Below are 17,516 nucleotides of genomic sequence, written 5' to 3'. Positions count from 1 at the left end.
TTTTTGTAAATTACTAATTTATTAATATGAAATTAATTGTTTTAATAATTAATTAAAATAATTAAATTACTAATTAAATTATTAATATGAATAATAATTGAATGTAACACTGAGAGCCCATAAATGTTTTTATTTGTTTCTGTTTTGTTTTCTATAAATGTATAAATTTCTTTTTGTGCATGTTGAAAAATGTACCCAAAGTATTACTACAGTATTTGTGTTCAATTTAAGTAATCTCTATGGAGATTTTATACAAGTACATATATATGTGTATGTGTACAAAAATATACACACCTGTACACATATGAACATATATGCATATTAAAGTCAAGATTGAGAAGTACTGTTCCAGATGATTACCAAATACAGATGTTTGGCTTCAGGAGGTAGATAGCAGAGAGGAAAGAGGACAGGGAAAGAAAGTAAAAAGGAAGTGAAGTAAAATAAGAGGGAGAAGATGCAAGAGGAAGAGTTGGAAAGGTAAGAAACACATATGAAAGGGCAGAGAATGGAAAAGCATGGAAATTTGACCCACATAATCTGAATTCAGATCAAAATATCTGCTCAAATGTCCTTATAGTCATTTGTTCCTGGATCTTGCTTAGATTTAGTTTCACTGACTAGTGAAAGGGGAAGAAATAACAATGTCTACCTGAAGGATTGTTGTGGAAAGTAAAGCAAATGATTTAGGTAAAGCATCTGATACACAGCAGGCATTCAATGATTGCCAGTTCCCATCTTGCTTCCCCTACACTCAGTGGCTAATCAATAAGTTTTTTTTTTTATCAAATGTCTATAAAGTACAGAAGAAAAAAGAAAAAGGCATGCATGAGAAGTGATATTACAGGGGTTCAAAGAAGAACTGGGTTCTCTTCCACTGCTATCTTTCACCTTGAGCCTTGATTATCTGTATCAACTTAGAAGTTCTTTTTTTGACTGTACACCTTGCATTATTTTGGATAAGTGTTCTGCCTTCTGTAACAAATGTCTAAAGGGTGATTAAAATATAATATTTATGTCTCTCTCATGTAATAGTTTAGCATAGGCAATCCAAAGTTTATATGATGACTACACGGGTTGGAGGTCCAGCTTCCTTGCAGCTTGTTGCTCTGAAACATGCTCCTGAAACATGGCTTCCATCCCTGAGTTTAAACTGGCTGCTCCTACTCCTACTCCTACTCCTACCATTGTATCTCCATCCCAGCCAGCAAGAAAAAGGAAAGGACGCACTTTCCTTCTTTCCTTTTAGGAACATGACCTGAAGGTTGCTTACATCGAGGATGGTCACAGTCAATGGGCCTGAGCTGTCACATAGCCACATCTAGCTGCAAGGGACACAGACAAACAGTCTTGAGGTTGGTAGGCATGTTTCTTTATATATATATATATATATATAATTATACTTTAAGTTCTAGGGTACATGTGCACAACGTGCAGGTTTGTTACATATGTATACATGTGCCATGTTGGTGTGCTGCACCCATTAACTCGTCATTTACATTAGGTATATCTCCTAATGCTATCCCTCCTCCCTCCCCCCACCCCACAACAGGCCCTGGTGTGTGATGTTCCCCTTCCTGTGTCCAAGTGTTCTCATTGTTCAATTCCCACCTATGAGTGAGAACATGCAGTGTTTGGTTTTTTGTCCTTGCCATAGTTTGCTGAGAATGATGGTTTCCAGCTTCATCCATGTCCCTACAAAGGACATGAACTCATCATTTTTTATGGCTGCATAGTATTCCATGGTGTATGTGTGTCACATTTTCTTAATTCAGTCTATCATTGTTGGACATTTGGGTTGGTTCTAAGTCTTTGCTATTGTGAGTAGTGCCACAATAAACATACGTGTGCATGTGTCTTTATAGCAGCATGATTTATATTCCTTTGGGTATATACCCAGCATGTTTCTAGTTAAAACTTGGAATGTCATCAAAGAAAGAGAGAAAAGTAGTGTGTGTTGGGGAGATGGAGATTAGCTGTGCCCAACGCACCTTATCATTACCAGTTTTGAGTATGACCTCTTGAGAATATATGTACATTTATATATTTTAAATTCACACAGATAGGACTGTAGTAATATATTGGGTACATTTTTCAACATGCACAAAAAGAAATTTTAAGAAGGTGAGTAAAGATTTAAGTTCTAAAATTCTTCCTGCACCTCAATAGAACATCTTATTTGCTTTGGAAACTACTACTTTATATAATGCTGAACAATCACTTAAGTTTGTTTTCTTTTTGCTTTGTTTTGAGACAGAGTCTCACTCTGTCACCCAGGCTGGAGTGCAGTGGCGCAATCATGACTCACTGCCTCTTCCACCTCCTGGGCTCAAGCCATCCTCCCACCTCAGCCTCCCAAGTAGCTGGGACTACAGGCATGTGTCACCACACCAGACTAATTTTTGTAGAGATGGGGTTTCACCATGTTGTCCAGACTGGTCTCGAACTCCTTGTACTCCCAAAGTGCTGGCAATACAGGCATGAACCACCACATCTGACTACTTAGGTATTTTTTAAGCTGAATAATCTTGTTGTTTTTCATAATTATATATGAAGCTATAAACACAGAAATACTGAGAAAATGTCAAATCACGCTGTTTTAGTTTATTGCTTTAAGGAATGTGTTTCGAGCATCAACCATGTTCAGGTGACTGTGTTATGTATGTGGAAATACGGAGATGAATATGTGCAGTCTCTGCCCCTTAGCACGTTCTTGGTGTAGTAAAGACAGGAGTGAGTAATTATGATCCGGTTCAGTGAGGGCTATATTGAGGCATAAGTCGGTATAAGAATGAGGGGACAGAGAGAGCTTCAAAAAAGGAACAATGTTGGCCACGAGTGGTGGCTCACACTTGTAATCCCAACACTTTGGGAAGCTGAGGCAGGCAGAGAGGTCGGGAGTTCGAGACCAGCCTGGCCAACATGGTGAAACCTAATCTCTATGAAAAATACAAAAATTAGCTGGGGGTGGTGGTGTGTGCCTATAATCCCAGCTACTCGGGAGGCTGAGGCAGGGGAATTGCTTGAACCTGGAGGGAGAGGTTGCAGTTAGCTCAGATTGTGCTTCTGCACTTCAGCCTGGGCAACAGAGCAAGACTCTATCTCGGGGGGTTAAAAAAAAAAAAAAAAGGAACAATGTTGAGCTAAGCCAGTCCTGAGGAAATAATGACCACAAGAGGAGGGGCAGAAATGTGCTTCTGGGAGGTTGAACATATTTACAAAAGCCTAGAGCTGTGAATAGCCCATGGATATCCCCAGCAAATCCATGGGATGTTAGGGGCTCAGCCCCAAGCACAGCCTGCGTTCTGCACCTTCCAGTGTGCCTTTTTGCATCTACTTTCTTAGTCCTGCCTCCACAGCCCAGCCTCATCCCAGGCATGGAGTGGCCTCATGGTGAACACATGGATGCCCCACCAAGACCTATGTCTTCAAAGAATGCCCAGTGCTCCAAATTATCCTTTTTGCCCTCTTTAGAAGCCAATTACTTCAGGGCCATTGGTCTCAGCTAGAGGCCATAAAGGAAAACATCTGCTCCCCTAAGGTATGGGCAACACAGAGCAACCACATCATTCCCTCCCCAGCATTTGATTAGGGTTCTTGAAAGGTAATGCCGTAAATCACAGGAAGGGATTTTTTTGAATCTGGCATTTGAGCCTTAGTGCAGTCATTTGAAGGCATTTCGGGGGTAGACAGAGATTTCCTCGTGTCCACTGAATCTCACTTTTATTTAGCCTTTGCCAGCCCTAGAAACAGATTTCCCTGTGTGCACCTCATGGTAGAATGTCTTTCTGTATCCTTACACACTCCTGATCCTGGCCTTTTTTCTTTTTCAGAAGCTTGTTATCTACTACACCTGAGTATAAACCCATTGTAGAAATCCAAGATGGTGCTAGGAATATATGCAGAGACTCCTAAAAATGTTAAGGGATGTCCCAGATGGAACCAAAGCTGAGAATGCATCATCTGTTATATAATATTTCCCTGCTCAAATTTAAAATGATGTGAGGGAATTATGTTGTCATTGGCCTTGGAGGTCTCCAGGACTTAGAGAGTACATTTCTTCTTCAGCTGGACAAGTTTGAGCAGAGAAGAAAGGAAGGTACAGGTAGATCATTTTATAATTTCTGGATGCTTTACAAAAATAAAAATTAACCGGAAAAGCTTCCACCATACCTAGGTTGTGGGAGCCAGTGGAGCAAACCACAGATACTCTCTAGTTCGTCCAGGCAGATGATAGCTTACACTTCTCTACCCTCTTCAAGGTGAAATGTGGCCATATGACATGCTCAGTGAATGAAAGATGTGTGAAAATGACATGGTACCTCTGGGAGGAAGTTTTAAGAGCCAGTGCACAGTTTGTCTTTTGCCTCCATATTCTGTAATGATTGTGGACGTACACCTTGGGGCAGGACATCTGTCAGCTGGGGACCTGGAGTGACTCTGATGAACAAAGTTCCCCCGCAAACCTTCATAGAACGGGTAACCTGGACCAGAAATAAACTTTTGTTGTGTGAAGCTGCTGAGATTTGGGGGTTGCTACTGCAGCAAAACCTAGCCCACCTGACATACCTAGGTTGGTGCATGTAGCATTCTGCACCTAGTGTCATTGCATAGAGACTCAGTACCTTTGTGGATTTGTTTACAGTCTTTTGGTTTTAGTAGTGAAAGCCAATTTGAACTAAGTTAGACATTAAAAGGGGGATACATCATGGGATACAGAGCATCTCCTAGAATCTGATAGCAGGAATGCAGTGAGGCCTCAGGAGGCAGCAGTGCCAAGTGTTGTAGAAACTGAAGATTCTCCCCTGATAGCTATTTTCTCCTTCCTTTCATAATGGCACTCCAGGATTTTAGCTGGGCACATAGCTACCCAGAATAAAAACTACATTTCCTGCTCACCATGGCAGCTCTGTGTGGCTATGAAACTAATTTCTAAGTAATGGGTTGTGACCAGAAATGAGGCCAAGCTTTGAGACTCAGTCTTTGAAGGAGAAAGACATGTCCTATATTGTCACTTCCCCTCTTTCCACTGGTTGGGATGCTGAGGCAACAGGAGGAGTTGGAGCAGCTACTATGAACCATGAGTTGAAAGCTACACGTTGAGGATAGATGAGCAAATACACAAGAGGAACTGAAGTCCCCCACATCATTTAGAGCCCATACCAAGCCTGGAATACCTATCCAGCTTTGTTTTGTCTCTATGAGAAGTAAATAAACTTGTATCTCATATTTGTAAACTTTTTACAGTAGAGCAGCTAAACTTGTACACTAGTCAACACATCATGATCTAGAAAGATGCCTGGACATTGTCTCTGTCTTTCCTGTGCTTCTTTCTCTTTCCTTCTGCACATCTTCATCCTTTTCATTTTCTATGGATCAGCTTTCTCTGATTTTGAGTTATTTCATAGAAAACGTGGCTGCCTTAAAGAAGCACGATGTTCATGTCTGTAACACACATTTATTAAGCACCTGTTGTGTGCTGGGAAGTGTGCTTGGAATATCTCTTCTATGTACTGTTCTGTCTGTTGCTAGCATTAAACACTAGCAACAGAACAGTAGGTACAACATATCCTTTTTTCCATGGGGCATATGGAGGATTGAAAATGAGGATTAGAGGTAGACAGTAACATGAAACAGAATGATCATCATGAAATTTGAAGAAATAAAAAATTTTATTTAAAAAAGGATTTTATTAAGGATGAAGTAAAGAGGGATGGTAAGGATGGAAATGTAGATGGGATCTAGATCAAAGAAGACCTTGTAAACTGTGTTATGGAGATGGGCATCATATAGATAGTCATTTGCAGATTGGATAAACCTTATAGGGGTATAGGAAGAAACTATCAGAACTATCATCTACATTTTTTATCTTTTTTTAGAAAAATTGTGTGTCCTATGCATTCTTTATAATATATATAACTGACTCGTATAGCAGCACATCTTTATAACTTACCTATAATTAATTTGGGAATAGAAAGCCGACAAACGGTTTTACCCAGGGGGATAGCATGATCCAGTTTACCAATTACGAAGGGTGCTTGGGGCTTCGCTGTGGAGAATGGATGGAAGCAAGGCAGGACTACAGGCAGGGAGACTGAGCAGAAGGCCGTGGCAGCAGAACAGCTGGGATATTGTGAAGGACTGAACTGGGTGGTGACTGGGCAGATTGGAGAGAGATTTTGGAAAGAATTACTAGGATTTCTGAACTTATTGAATGTGGGAATTGGAAAAAGAGAGAAGGAAAAGATGATACTAAGGATTCTGCTTTTGCCATCAGGATGAATGGTGGGCCTGTTACTGCAATTTTAGGCAAACTAAGGTCTGTAAATTGGCCCTAAATTGGGGGACATGGAAATTGCTGGTAAAATGATTAAAAACAGTTTCAATGTGAGATTGGGGTGCAGACTGATGAAGACTGAATAAAGGCAATGAACTTGATTGAGACCCCTATCTGGAGGAACTTATTAAGAAGTAGAGTTGTGAATGTGATAAAAGAAAGGTCAGGGGTGACTTTTCCGTTATTTTTGCAGATGGGAAAGACTTTCACCCTGTGAGGAATCTATTTTCTCCCCTTTATTCTCCTTGCAAACAGTCCTTTTCAGACACACACCCATCTTCCTTATCCTTGGCCAACTGCCTTATTCCTGGACCAACTTCTCTATTACTTTAAGAAAATCATTTTCTTTTATCTGGTCAAAAACGAATCCTAATAATTGATGACACATATAAAAGTAATGAGGGTGGTGGCCTTGCATTAAGGGAAAGGAAATTTCCAGCTAATATTAGGCAAGACAGACAAGCTCTAAAACCTTTTGAAGTTCCCTTTAGACACACCCAACATTTCTGTCTCCCTCATCTTTTCTTCAAGTTGGCCCTGAGTATTATTAAACACCACTTGTTCTTTTTAAAATTGTCTTAATATTATAGCCGTATTTCTTGTGCTATTTTTCTTTTTCAGTATTTCCGCCGTGTGAAGACTTTTTGGGGCTTACCTAGAGAGTAAACTCCATTGACAATTTCCTCCCTAAGGAAAAAAAGCATTTTAAGGTTTTGCTTTAGAAGCCAGCTTGAGGGGGTGGGGGTGGGGGGCTAAATTTCTTGGTTTGTCAGGCCTTCGGGACACAGACGGGTACAGGAGTGACCCACTAAAGGCATAGCTGTTGGTGCAGCCCAAAGAAGCTAACGTACCTTCCGTGGTTTCTTCTGGGCAGGGAGCGACTGTGGCGTTGGGAGAGGTCAGTGAGAAGGCCACACTGCTGTTTAACCAGGAACAGCTGCTAAATGCGCCTGGGCTCAGGCCCTTCTTTGCACAGGAAGATAGACAAGGAGAGGGCAGGCCTACCTGGAAAGTTCAAGTTAAATCCTGGCAGGCCTCTGGAGGCCCAAGCAGCCCAACATATGGGCAAAATGTTTCTTCCCCGGCACAGCGGTTGTCTCCCCGGAGAGGTTCAAGCCTCCTGTGACCTCCTGCTGCCGTTAGTCTTGAAACCAAATCGGGACTGGGCAGCCAGGCCCCTGCAGCTTTTTCTGTCCCGGCAGCTAGGATCTCCGTCTGCACCCCTGGCTGGCTGCTATGGCTGCAGAGGAGCAAGAGCGAAACCGCGCGAGTGGCAGGAGCAGGCCAGGCCGGAGGCCCCTCCCCGGCCCCCAATCCGGCGGCCTGCCCTCCCCCTCCCGGGGCGTTTGTATAGCAGACACCTGCAGCACGGGCGGCCGCCCGGGTTCCCGACACAAGGCGCTGGTACCTGAGCCCTTGACTGGTAATGCACCATAAACCGCTCCTTTCAGGCCCTTTCAGAGCAGGAGCACGGAGGTCACCGTGCCTACAAACCCCTCTGTGTCCGCCACGTCTCCTGGGCCCTGGGCGCTCGGGCCTCCAGCCGCAGAGCACGCCTGCCCGTGGGAATCCCAACACTTGTGCTCCGCGAGGCCGGCGGGGCGGGGGCGGGGGATTGGGACCACCCTGCCCTCCCCCAGCCCGGCCTCCCCCGCCCTGCCCGCCGCTGGTTCACAGAGCGCAGCGAGTGGAACGAATTGGGTGCGCCGTCCTCAGACGCTGGCGGAAATCAAATGATGAGGCGAGGTGGGACACCCGCTCTCCGCCCCGCGGCCGACGCCCAGCCCACGGCAAAGGTATCACACGGTGTCCCGCCTCGCGGCGACGCGAGCGGCGGGATGACTCGGCCTGGGCCCTGGCGCAGCCAAAGGCCCGGCTCGCTGGGGCGCGATCCCAGCTCGGCGCGCACAGCCCTCCGAGTTCCAGGTTGGATTGGGTGCGGTTGTACCTGTGGAGTGGGTGGCCCGGTGACTGCCACCCGGGCCAGTGCTGCCAGCAGATGTGCACATCCTGGGCGGGGGCTGGCGGCCGAGTGTCACTAGTAGGGGCGGCGGCTAGGCAGCCATTCGCCGCCTTCCAAGCCCGGCGCTGCGCGCAGGGCTTGGAGCACTCGGTGCTGAGACGCGAATGCGCATAAAGAGAAAAGTGTTTCCAGTGTTTCCCCAAAATGGGGAACAGGGAAGAAGGACAAGTATCATGCAAGACTGCCACTGCCACCTGTCTTTTGCGGACCATGCTGCCTTCTTTCCCGCTGGCCTGGCTCTGAGCACTGAAAGCCGGGGAGAGGGCGCCGGCCTTAGAGCCAGCCGCACTCGGGGACCGCAGGCGGCGCTGGCCCGGGCCACCCAAGCCCGGCAGATGAGCCTTTGGCCTGCGGGGGACCGGGCCGGAGGCCAGGGGGACGGCAGTGTCGCCGGAGGGAGCGCGCAGCCCAAGGCCGGTGCTCCGGCCCCGCGCGCCCCCTCCCGGGTCCGCAGGGAACCCGGGTTACCTGGGGAGCCGGGCTTTGTCGGCCACGCTGGCTCTCCGCGGCCCCAGAACTAATTAAACGCCTCTTTTGGCCAAGGGAAGTCTTGCGCCGGACGGGGGTGGGGGCGTGTGGGGGCGGCATGTGGGCACCGGAATAATCAGCCCCATTCTTGCGCTTCTACAGAACCCGCGGCGCAGCGAGAAGTGAACAGCGGCCGCCTGAATGGCGGTTTCAAAAGGCGACACCTGCAAGCGCGGCCGGTTGTGAATTGAATTGAGTCAAATGCGGCGCCCGCTCGTACCTGAGCCGCGAGCTATTAGTGTCAGGCGCGCCCGGTCGTCCGGGCGGGGAAGCGCGCGGCCAGGCCGTCCGCGCTGAATGCGGCAAGCTGCGGCGCGGCCGCTCCATGGGAATGTCGCCACTTGTGCTGCTAGCGGTCGGGAGGGGGTGCGCTGCCCTTTCAGAGACAGACACAATTAGGCAAAATGCTCAATGAACATTATAAATGACGTGCGATCGCTCTGCAGATTGCCTGGCAAATCAAATTATATGGTCGCTCGCGGGCAATTTCCATGTGCTTTTAAAACTTAAACAGGTATTCGCCCATTTAAAAAAAAAAAAAAAGGAGAGGGGGTGAGTCGACTCAGGGATTCCGGAAAAAACAAGTGAAAGAGTCGGTGTTGAATATTCACACGTCCCCTTTGTTGGCGACTGACTTCACAATGGGCTTGGAGAGGGGGTGCGTTTGGACGAGACACATTTTTTACTGTCTTCCATGCTGCAGAGGAAGGCACCAGAAGTTTGCATTTATTACAACTCACAATTACAGTGGGACTCCCTTTTTTCTTTTAAGACTAAAATTCTTCTCATAATGAATGACTTGAAAGCTACTGTCATTCTAATAAGATGGAAGAAACATTCTAATCAGATGGAAGCGCGCCCGGGTGCACTTGGGGAGGAGGCGGAAAGAGCCCTGCGCTTCTCCCTGGCACCAAGCATTAATCCAGGAGGGAGCTGGGGAAGCTGGGGCTCTGCGCTCTGCACAGCCCAGACTCTGGGCCTCAGGCGCGGCCCCGAGGCTCCCCGGTTGTCATTCGGCCTCCCTGCGGTCCCCCAAGCATCGGGAGGAGCAGCGGCACAGAACCAGCGAGAGAAGCAGCGCTGGGTGCAGTGCGCCCAGGGCGGCTCCGGCAGTGATGCCGGCACCGGCATGAGCACCCCAGCCGCCCTTGGTCTGCCCCAGCTTGGGCCTGCGCTCTGTGGCTGCGACCCTCGGAGGAGGGGGGCAGCTGGAGGCGCCCGGATTGCGCGGACCCCCGCAGAGGCCAGGAGCCGCGCCTCCGGCGAGGGGCTGTCATCGAGCAAGAGCAGAGTCGATTCTGGCTTCAAAAGAAGGAAGCAAGGAAGCAGCAGCCATCCGTGGCCTCACACCCCTGCCGACCTCCATCTCATTTTCGATTTTCTACTCTTTTTGTTTCTAGATAATTGGGACAGAGGGAGGGGCGAAGAACTGCGGATCGTGGTGACAGTTGGTAAATATATGCATCTTAGTGAGGAAAGGCAAGCAGAAAAGAATATTGGAAATCCAGCTTTGGGGTTCGTCTTTGTCGGTGACTCACTGTGTTATCTTGGGCAAGTAGCTTAACCTCTTGGGCTCAGTTTTCTCATCCATGAAATGGGAACCAATGTCTGATGTGTCTTCCTCACGGGGCTGTTTTCATTAGGACTTTAATTGGGAATGGCAATCTTTTGGGTAGGTTGTCTTTGTGTGCCTTAAAGTCAAAAACTATACATAAGCCCCAAGGATAAAAACCTCCGTGGGAGGACAAACCTTAGAAACTCAGAGACCTGAGCACTGGTGTTCCTCCCCTCCCAATCCTCGCTCAGGAATCGCTCCTTATTGGGACTGGAGGAAAGGGATGCTCTTCCTAACTGCTTCCCCGTGCAAAGAGGAACTGGGTCCCTGAGGAGTGAGGAGAGCAAAACTCAACCAACATCCGGACCATCTGGTTGTGTGTGTGTGAGCGTGCGTGCATGTGTGTAAGGGGGCAGGTCTCCAATACGTTGGACATTTTCGTTTCTCCTTGTCTCACACTTTTCCTGCTGGTACCAATGACCACTTCGTGAAGAGCAATGAATGAAGCGCAATTCATGAGTTAGGAAGGTGAATTTCATTGAGAAATAACATTTTTTATTGCAGTTCTGGGCATGAGAGTCCCGGAATGGCGAAGGTTCTGGGAGCCTCGTGGAGCCAGGTGCGCTGGCCTTGGTGCTGAAGGTAAAGGCCGAGCCTGCGGAGGCAACCGCCTCAAACCATGGGCCATCTGCTCAAATCTAAAAGCAAGGGGATCACACCTTTTTAATACCTCCCGTCCCGGGTGTGTGCTTGTTTCCGTTGGGGGGATGGGGGGGAGGGTGTGTGTGCGCGCACGCCCGCGCGTGTGTGTAATAAAAATAACATGAAAGCACAGTGACAGTGTCTAATAAAGTTTAGTTAATTGAATGGACATTTAGATACCTTTCTCTCAATCTGCTCCATAACTTACTTATTCAATTCAATGTGGGAAAATTTTTACTAAATAATAGTCATGCAATGTCTTAAGGATGCCTGACTGTTTCTCACTTTGTTTTCATCGTCTGATCTAAACATTATGGTGGAGAAGTTTCAGGCAAGAGCAAAATTTATCAAAGACAAGAGTGGTCCATTCAACACTTCTTCCTGATGACATTTAAGTTCTTCACTGCCTCTGGGCCCAAATTGGGGTGATTCTATCTCAGGAAAGAAATAACTGAGACAGAATCATCTTGGAAAGGTATATGCGGTTTTAATTAATGAATCTATTCTGAGATCTCTAGGGAAGCTCAGTTAGTACTGGGTCAAACCCAGTGATTAAGGCTTCATGTGTGCCATTTATAGGAAGAATTTTCCTTGGGCTAAAATATGGTAAAAAGACCAAGGACCTGTTCTGTTCATTTTTCTGTCACAATATCATCTTTTTTTTTGAGACAGGGTATCACTCTGTCACTCAGGCTGGAGTGCAGTGGCATAATCACAGCTCACTACAGGCTCAAATTTTCAGGCTCCAGCGATCCTTCCATCTCAGCCTCCCGAGTAGCTGGGACCACAGGCACTAGTCACCAAGCCCAGCTAATTTTTGGTAGAGACAGGGTTCGACCATGTTTCCCAGGCTGGTTTTGAACTCCTGAGCTCAGGCAATCCACCTGCCTCAGCCTCTCAAAGTGCTGGGATTACAGGCATGAGCCACCATGCCTGTAATATCATATTTAACAGTTAAAAATCTATTTATACCCTGCTCATTCAAAATACATATTAAGTAGTATGCGCAAATATGTGTACTTTAACAAGATCAGAAAATAAGTAAATGAAAATATTTGGAGTGAAAGTAGAAAAAATCAGATGTAACTGGAATTAATTTCTGTACACTTGCTGGAGATGCTCTAAAGTTCTGGCTCCAAACCTCCTCATTGTTCCCAATGCAAAGAAAAAACACAATAAATGTCATGATTCACGGGGTCTAAGATAAAAGTAAACTGGTTTCTCACAGAAGAACAACTATTTGCAGTACTGACATCAGACAGAAACCTCTCCCATGTGCCCCCATAAAATGATGTACCCATAAAATGAAAAGTGACCTCAACCGTGTCCCTAAAGCAAATAGATCTTAGTTGTGTGGGCTAGCTTCCATTTGTGTCACTCAGTGAAGCCCCACAATATTCCCTTTGTTTGAGTAAGAATAAAACTGGCGAGAAAAAGACCTGGCAAACAGCACGCTCACTCACATCCTTACTGGGATGTTGCAATCTTAGCGTTGGGGACAAACCATCCTGAGAATCCTCATGCTACAGTTGTTGCAACTTCTGAAAGATTTGCAAAAAATACTCTTGGGACTCAGCCTGATATTTAAGGAAGACCAATGACAGTGATAGACTTTGGAAAAGAGGAGGTGTTACTGTTAGTGCTGGAACCATCAAAGCCATCTTTGGACCAGCACTCCAACTTCAGTACCTATAAAAGTCATCAGCTTTAACTTCAAAACTTATGATTTGGTGGGTCTAGTAGCATCAGGAAAAAACATTATATATATATATATAAATAATATTATATATGCACATTATATATATGTGTGCATATGCATCTATATGTATATGCATACATATACATGTATATATGTGTGTATATGCATACACAAACATGTATATATGTGTGTGTATATAATTTTGGAAAACATAATTTTTTAATAAGCACCCTAGATATGCAATGAGATCACTAAATTGTTTCCTTCTTCTCTTGTATAGAGCTAAACTACAGTTTCCAGCCTTTCCTGCAGCTGTGTTGGACTGTGTAATTCAGTCCTGGCCAATGGAATGTAGGCAAAAGTAAGGTACATCACTTCTAGCATTAGTCCCTAAAACCACTCTTGAAATCCTCTAAGTTGGCTTTTTCTCCTCTTGTCATCTGCCACCTTGGTACAGAGGATCCCAGAGAGGACTCTAAATGCCCTGAGTGATGGCAGAGACATTAGATGGAAGGAAAACTGTGCCCCTGAATGAGTGTGTAGGGAAGATCACCCTTTACAATCTGCAACAGTCACTGGACTATGTAATAAGCAATAACTACATATTTATGCTGTCAGCTACTGAAATTTGGGGACCATTTGTTACAACCTCTAGCTTTTCTTAACTTAATATACCAGGTGATTCTAACATAGTCCAATAACCACTTTTGGAGAAACACTACTCCAAACAAAACTGTGGAGAAGCAAATGATTCCGCCTTCTGGTGACAATTCCTTAGCGTCTAAGAAGGACTCAAATGGTAATGGTTTCAGGAGTGGTAGCAATCCAAGTGGATGCAAGATTTGGGGTCGGTGCCTCCATTCCATAAATGTTGCCTGTTCATAAAATTTACTCAAAAGTCACAATTTATATGGCATTATTTTATTTCCTGAGTATTTACCTCCTTTTTTTCTCTCTGCCTTGACCCTGTCACCACTGGGGAAGAAAGATGAGCTCCAAGAGAAAAGGAAGAGCCTCAGGTCTGTAGAGTCTTTGTTACGTGGTAGACACTATACTGAACACTTTTCATGCACAATCTCATTTACACTCACATGCATTCCTTCAAAGTAGGCATGAATATTCCCATTTTATAATGAAGACTCTAAAACCTTGTTGGAATTGCTGTGCCAGCATTAGGGACTTACTGATGAACTTAAAGCTCTGCCCCTTTAGGGAGTTTGACTGGGTGACCTAAGTACACCTAAGCTATGCATCTCAGTGGGAAGATAGATGAAGGGGCATTAACTCAATCTGAGTGGTATCACTGGGCTGGAACAGCAGTTAGGGAAGGGCTTTGCTCGATGATGTAGACCGGTTTGCTCAGTTCTGCAAGGGACTATTCTAAATGGACCCATGGTAAGCCTATTCAAACTCATTAAGCTCCTTGAACTCTGACCTGGTAGAAAGGATGTGCTTTTTATTAAGAACCTTACAAAAGTACTATTTTTAACCCCAGAAACTCCATTTCTAGGGATCAGTTCTAAGGAAATAATTTGAAATATGGAAAACACTGTACACAAAAAGCTCTACTATGACACTATTTATAAACAAAATGAGGATACAACCTAAATGTTGTTTAAGTGGATAAGTCATTGGGTTAATGATGCATTATTAAATGACACACATGGTCATGAAAATAATCATGCAGAGGGCTTGTAATAACTTTGAAAATGTTGAAAAGATAATGTTAAGTGAAAAATATTAAAATGTAGATTTGAATTAAAATGGCCATCTAAAATGAAAAAAAGAACATCAAAAACTAGTGATAGAAAAAAGATGGAAAGAAATATACCAAAATGTTCATAGCATTTTGTCTTTGGGAAAAAGAATTTGAGGTAATTTTCTCCTCCACTTCTCTAATTTTTCTCAAATGTTCTCTTATGCTCATGCTTATATTTTATAATGGAAAATCAAAAAATAGAAAATTTAAATACAAAGAATTTGCTTTTAGAGAAATAGTTCAGAAGAAAAATTTTAAGCTGTAAAAAAAGTTGAAATACAGCACATAGAAAAATGTATGAAATACACAACTCAAGGATTTATCACAAGACAAGCACCACCAAGCTCAAGAGCTAGAATACTGCCAGTGCTCAGAAATACCTCTTATATCCCCCTCAGTCACCATCCCCTTTGTCGTCTCCAACAGTAATGACTGTCAAGCTTCTATGGTCACTGTTTCCTTCCTTTTCTTCAGAATGTTGTGTCCTAAGTCTGAATCCTTAAACATGAGAATTTTATCTACCTTTTGAACTTAATGGAAATGGAATCATAAAACATTTCTTTGTTTCTGCTTTCTTTTTTTTTAACACTATAAATGTGAGGTGCCTCCATGTTGTTGCATGTGGCAAAATTCATTAATCGCTGTATAGTGTTGCATTGTGTGAATGCAACATTATTTGTCTATCATTTTCCTGTAGATGTTTCCAGTTTGGACCATTAGGAAAAATGCTGCTGTGAACAGTCTTGTACGTTTCTTAGTGCATGCGTGTGCAGACATTTCTTTGAGGATAAACCTAGGAGTGGAAGTTCTGGGTCATAGGACATGCGTATCTTTTTCTTCTTCTTTTCATAATATTCCTTCTTATATGTATCAAAGCTCATACCGCACAATGAGCTCTGAGTTGCAAAAGAGAATTTATTTTTTGCGTCTGTCTAAGGATGTGGATATCTTCAGTAGATTTAATGCTGTACTGTTCCCCACAGTGGTTCTAAGAGTTTACGCTTCCATTGGCAAGAAGTATGTGCTTTAACCCTTTATGGAGTGGAAGCATATGGCCCATAAAAGGAGACTCCAGGGGATTGGCTTTTAGCCTTTTTCTTCTCAGGGACAGACTGGAGAAAGCTTTTTTTATCAGATTATGGGATCCCCAAGGCTCACAATAGATATTGACATTGCTATATACGCCAGCTCAGAATCTAATCTGACCTTGAAGTGAATCTCCCAATACAATTAAAAAAAAAAAAAACCATCCCAGCAGTCACAGAGCTGAAGGGCACTCAGAAATAACACTTGGGTGAAAAGAGGTAGGTACTGAGGAGTAAAGTTCTGGATGTGAATGGATCACACAAATAAAATATCTTTTGATAGTTCTGAGTCTGGGAACTTCAGGAAGCCATGGAGATGGTAATGGGGCTAAACCAAGAATTTTCAATATTAAACACTTAGAGAAATGAAATCTTTACTGCCGATAGGACTGGGCAGGATTTCTAAAGCTTCCTGGCTTTGTTTTGACCTGGAATTCTGTGAACTCATTGTGATAGCTCTGGCAACATCATGCTAATCACAGGCTTTGGTTGGAAGTCATATGTATCTCTGATTAACAAAGTTAGGAAAATTAGCTTTAAATGGACACATGTATAGTCTCTTAAACCTTGGGGCCCATGGGGTTCGTGGTGTTGAGGAGACTGGGGAGCACTGAAGGTTTATCATGAGGAATGTGGGTGTGCTCAGCAACCTAGAAACATACCCACACCTATCTGTTCAATCTCTCCTTCGTGGCCATTCTTCATTTTTTTAATTTTTAATTTTTTTACTTATTTTTAGAGGTGGAGTCTTGCTATGTTGCCCAGGTTGTTCTCAAACTTTTGGCTTCAAGTGACCCTCCCACCTCAGCCTCCCGGGTGGCTGGGATTCCAGATTCTTCCATGCCTGGCTCTCTTTGGCCATTCCCTACTCTCTAACACAGACTCTCAGTGATGGGTCCCGTGGAGGATGACAAATTTTACCCTTGTCCACAGGCATAGGGGCTTAGCAGGATTTGACCAGCCTGTTAGGCCAAGGCAAAAGAAAAATCAAGGGGATGGCGTGTGCCTTCTCTGTAAGAAATACATCTTGGGGGACAGAATGGATGTCACCATAGATGAAAAGAAAGACCTGTATTAATTTTCTGCAGCTTCTATAGCAAATTACCACAAATAAAACAGCACAAGTGTATTATGTTACAGGTTTTTTTGTTTGTTGGTTTTTTTGAGACAGAGTCTCACTCTGTCACCCAGGCTATAGTGCAGTGGTGCGATCTCGGCTCACTGCAACTTCTGCTTTCCATGTTCAAGTGATTCTCATGCCTCAGCCTCTAGAGCAAGTGGGATTACAGGTGTGCACCACCACGCCCAGCTAATTTTTGTATTTGGTAGAGATGGGATTTTGCCATGTTGGCCAGGCTGGCCTCAAACTCCTGAACTCAAGTGATCCACCCACCTCAGCCTTGCAAAGTGCTGGGATTACAGGCGTAAGCCTTGCACCTGGGGCCTTATGTTACAGTTTTGTAGGTTAAAAGTCTGACATGAAGGCTGGGATGCAGTGGCTCTGGCCTGTAATTGCAGCACTTTGGGAGGCCAAGGCAGGAGGATCACTTAAAGCCAGGACTTTAAGAGCAGCCTGGGCAACAACGTGAGACTCTGTCTCTACAAAAATAAATACATAAATAAACAAATAAAGGAAAATAAAAAATTATTAATTTTAGAAGTCTGACTTGGGTCTCAGTGGACTGTAACTGAGTGTTAGCAGGGCTGCCTTTCTATCTGGAGGCTCTAGGGGAGACCCATGTAGATCTGTTTCCTTGTCTTTCAGTTTCTAGAGGCCGCTCACATTCCTTGGCTTGTGGCCTCTTCCTCCATCTTCAAATCCCGGTAA

General features: G+C 44.5%; 1 pseudogene; it reads right to left on the bottom strand.

Moving 5' to 3' along the window:
• Nucleotides 1-15,453: 15,453 nt before the first annotated feature.
• LOC124900299 (uncharacterized) lies at nt 15,454-15,570 on the bottom strand (annotated as a pseudogene).
• Nucleotides 15,571-17,516: the final 1,946 nt, after the last annotated feature.

This window comes from Homo sapiens, chromosome 10 (assembly GCF_000001405.40).
Source record: "Homo sapiens chromosome 10, GRCh38.p14 Primary Assembly".
In the NCBI taxonomy this organism is placed as follows: Eukaryota; Metazoa; Chordata; class Mammalia; order Primates; family Hominidae; genus Homo; species Homo sapiens.
The sequence above is the reverse complement of the archived record's forward strand: the minus strand, read 5'-3'. Positions and strand labels throughout refer to the sequence as shown.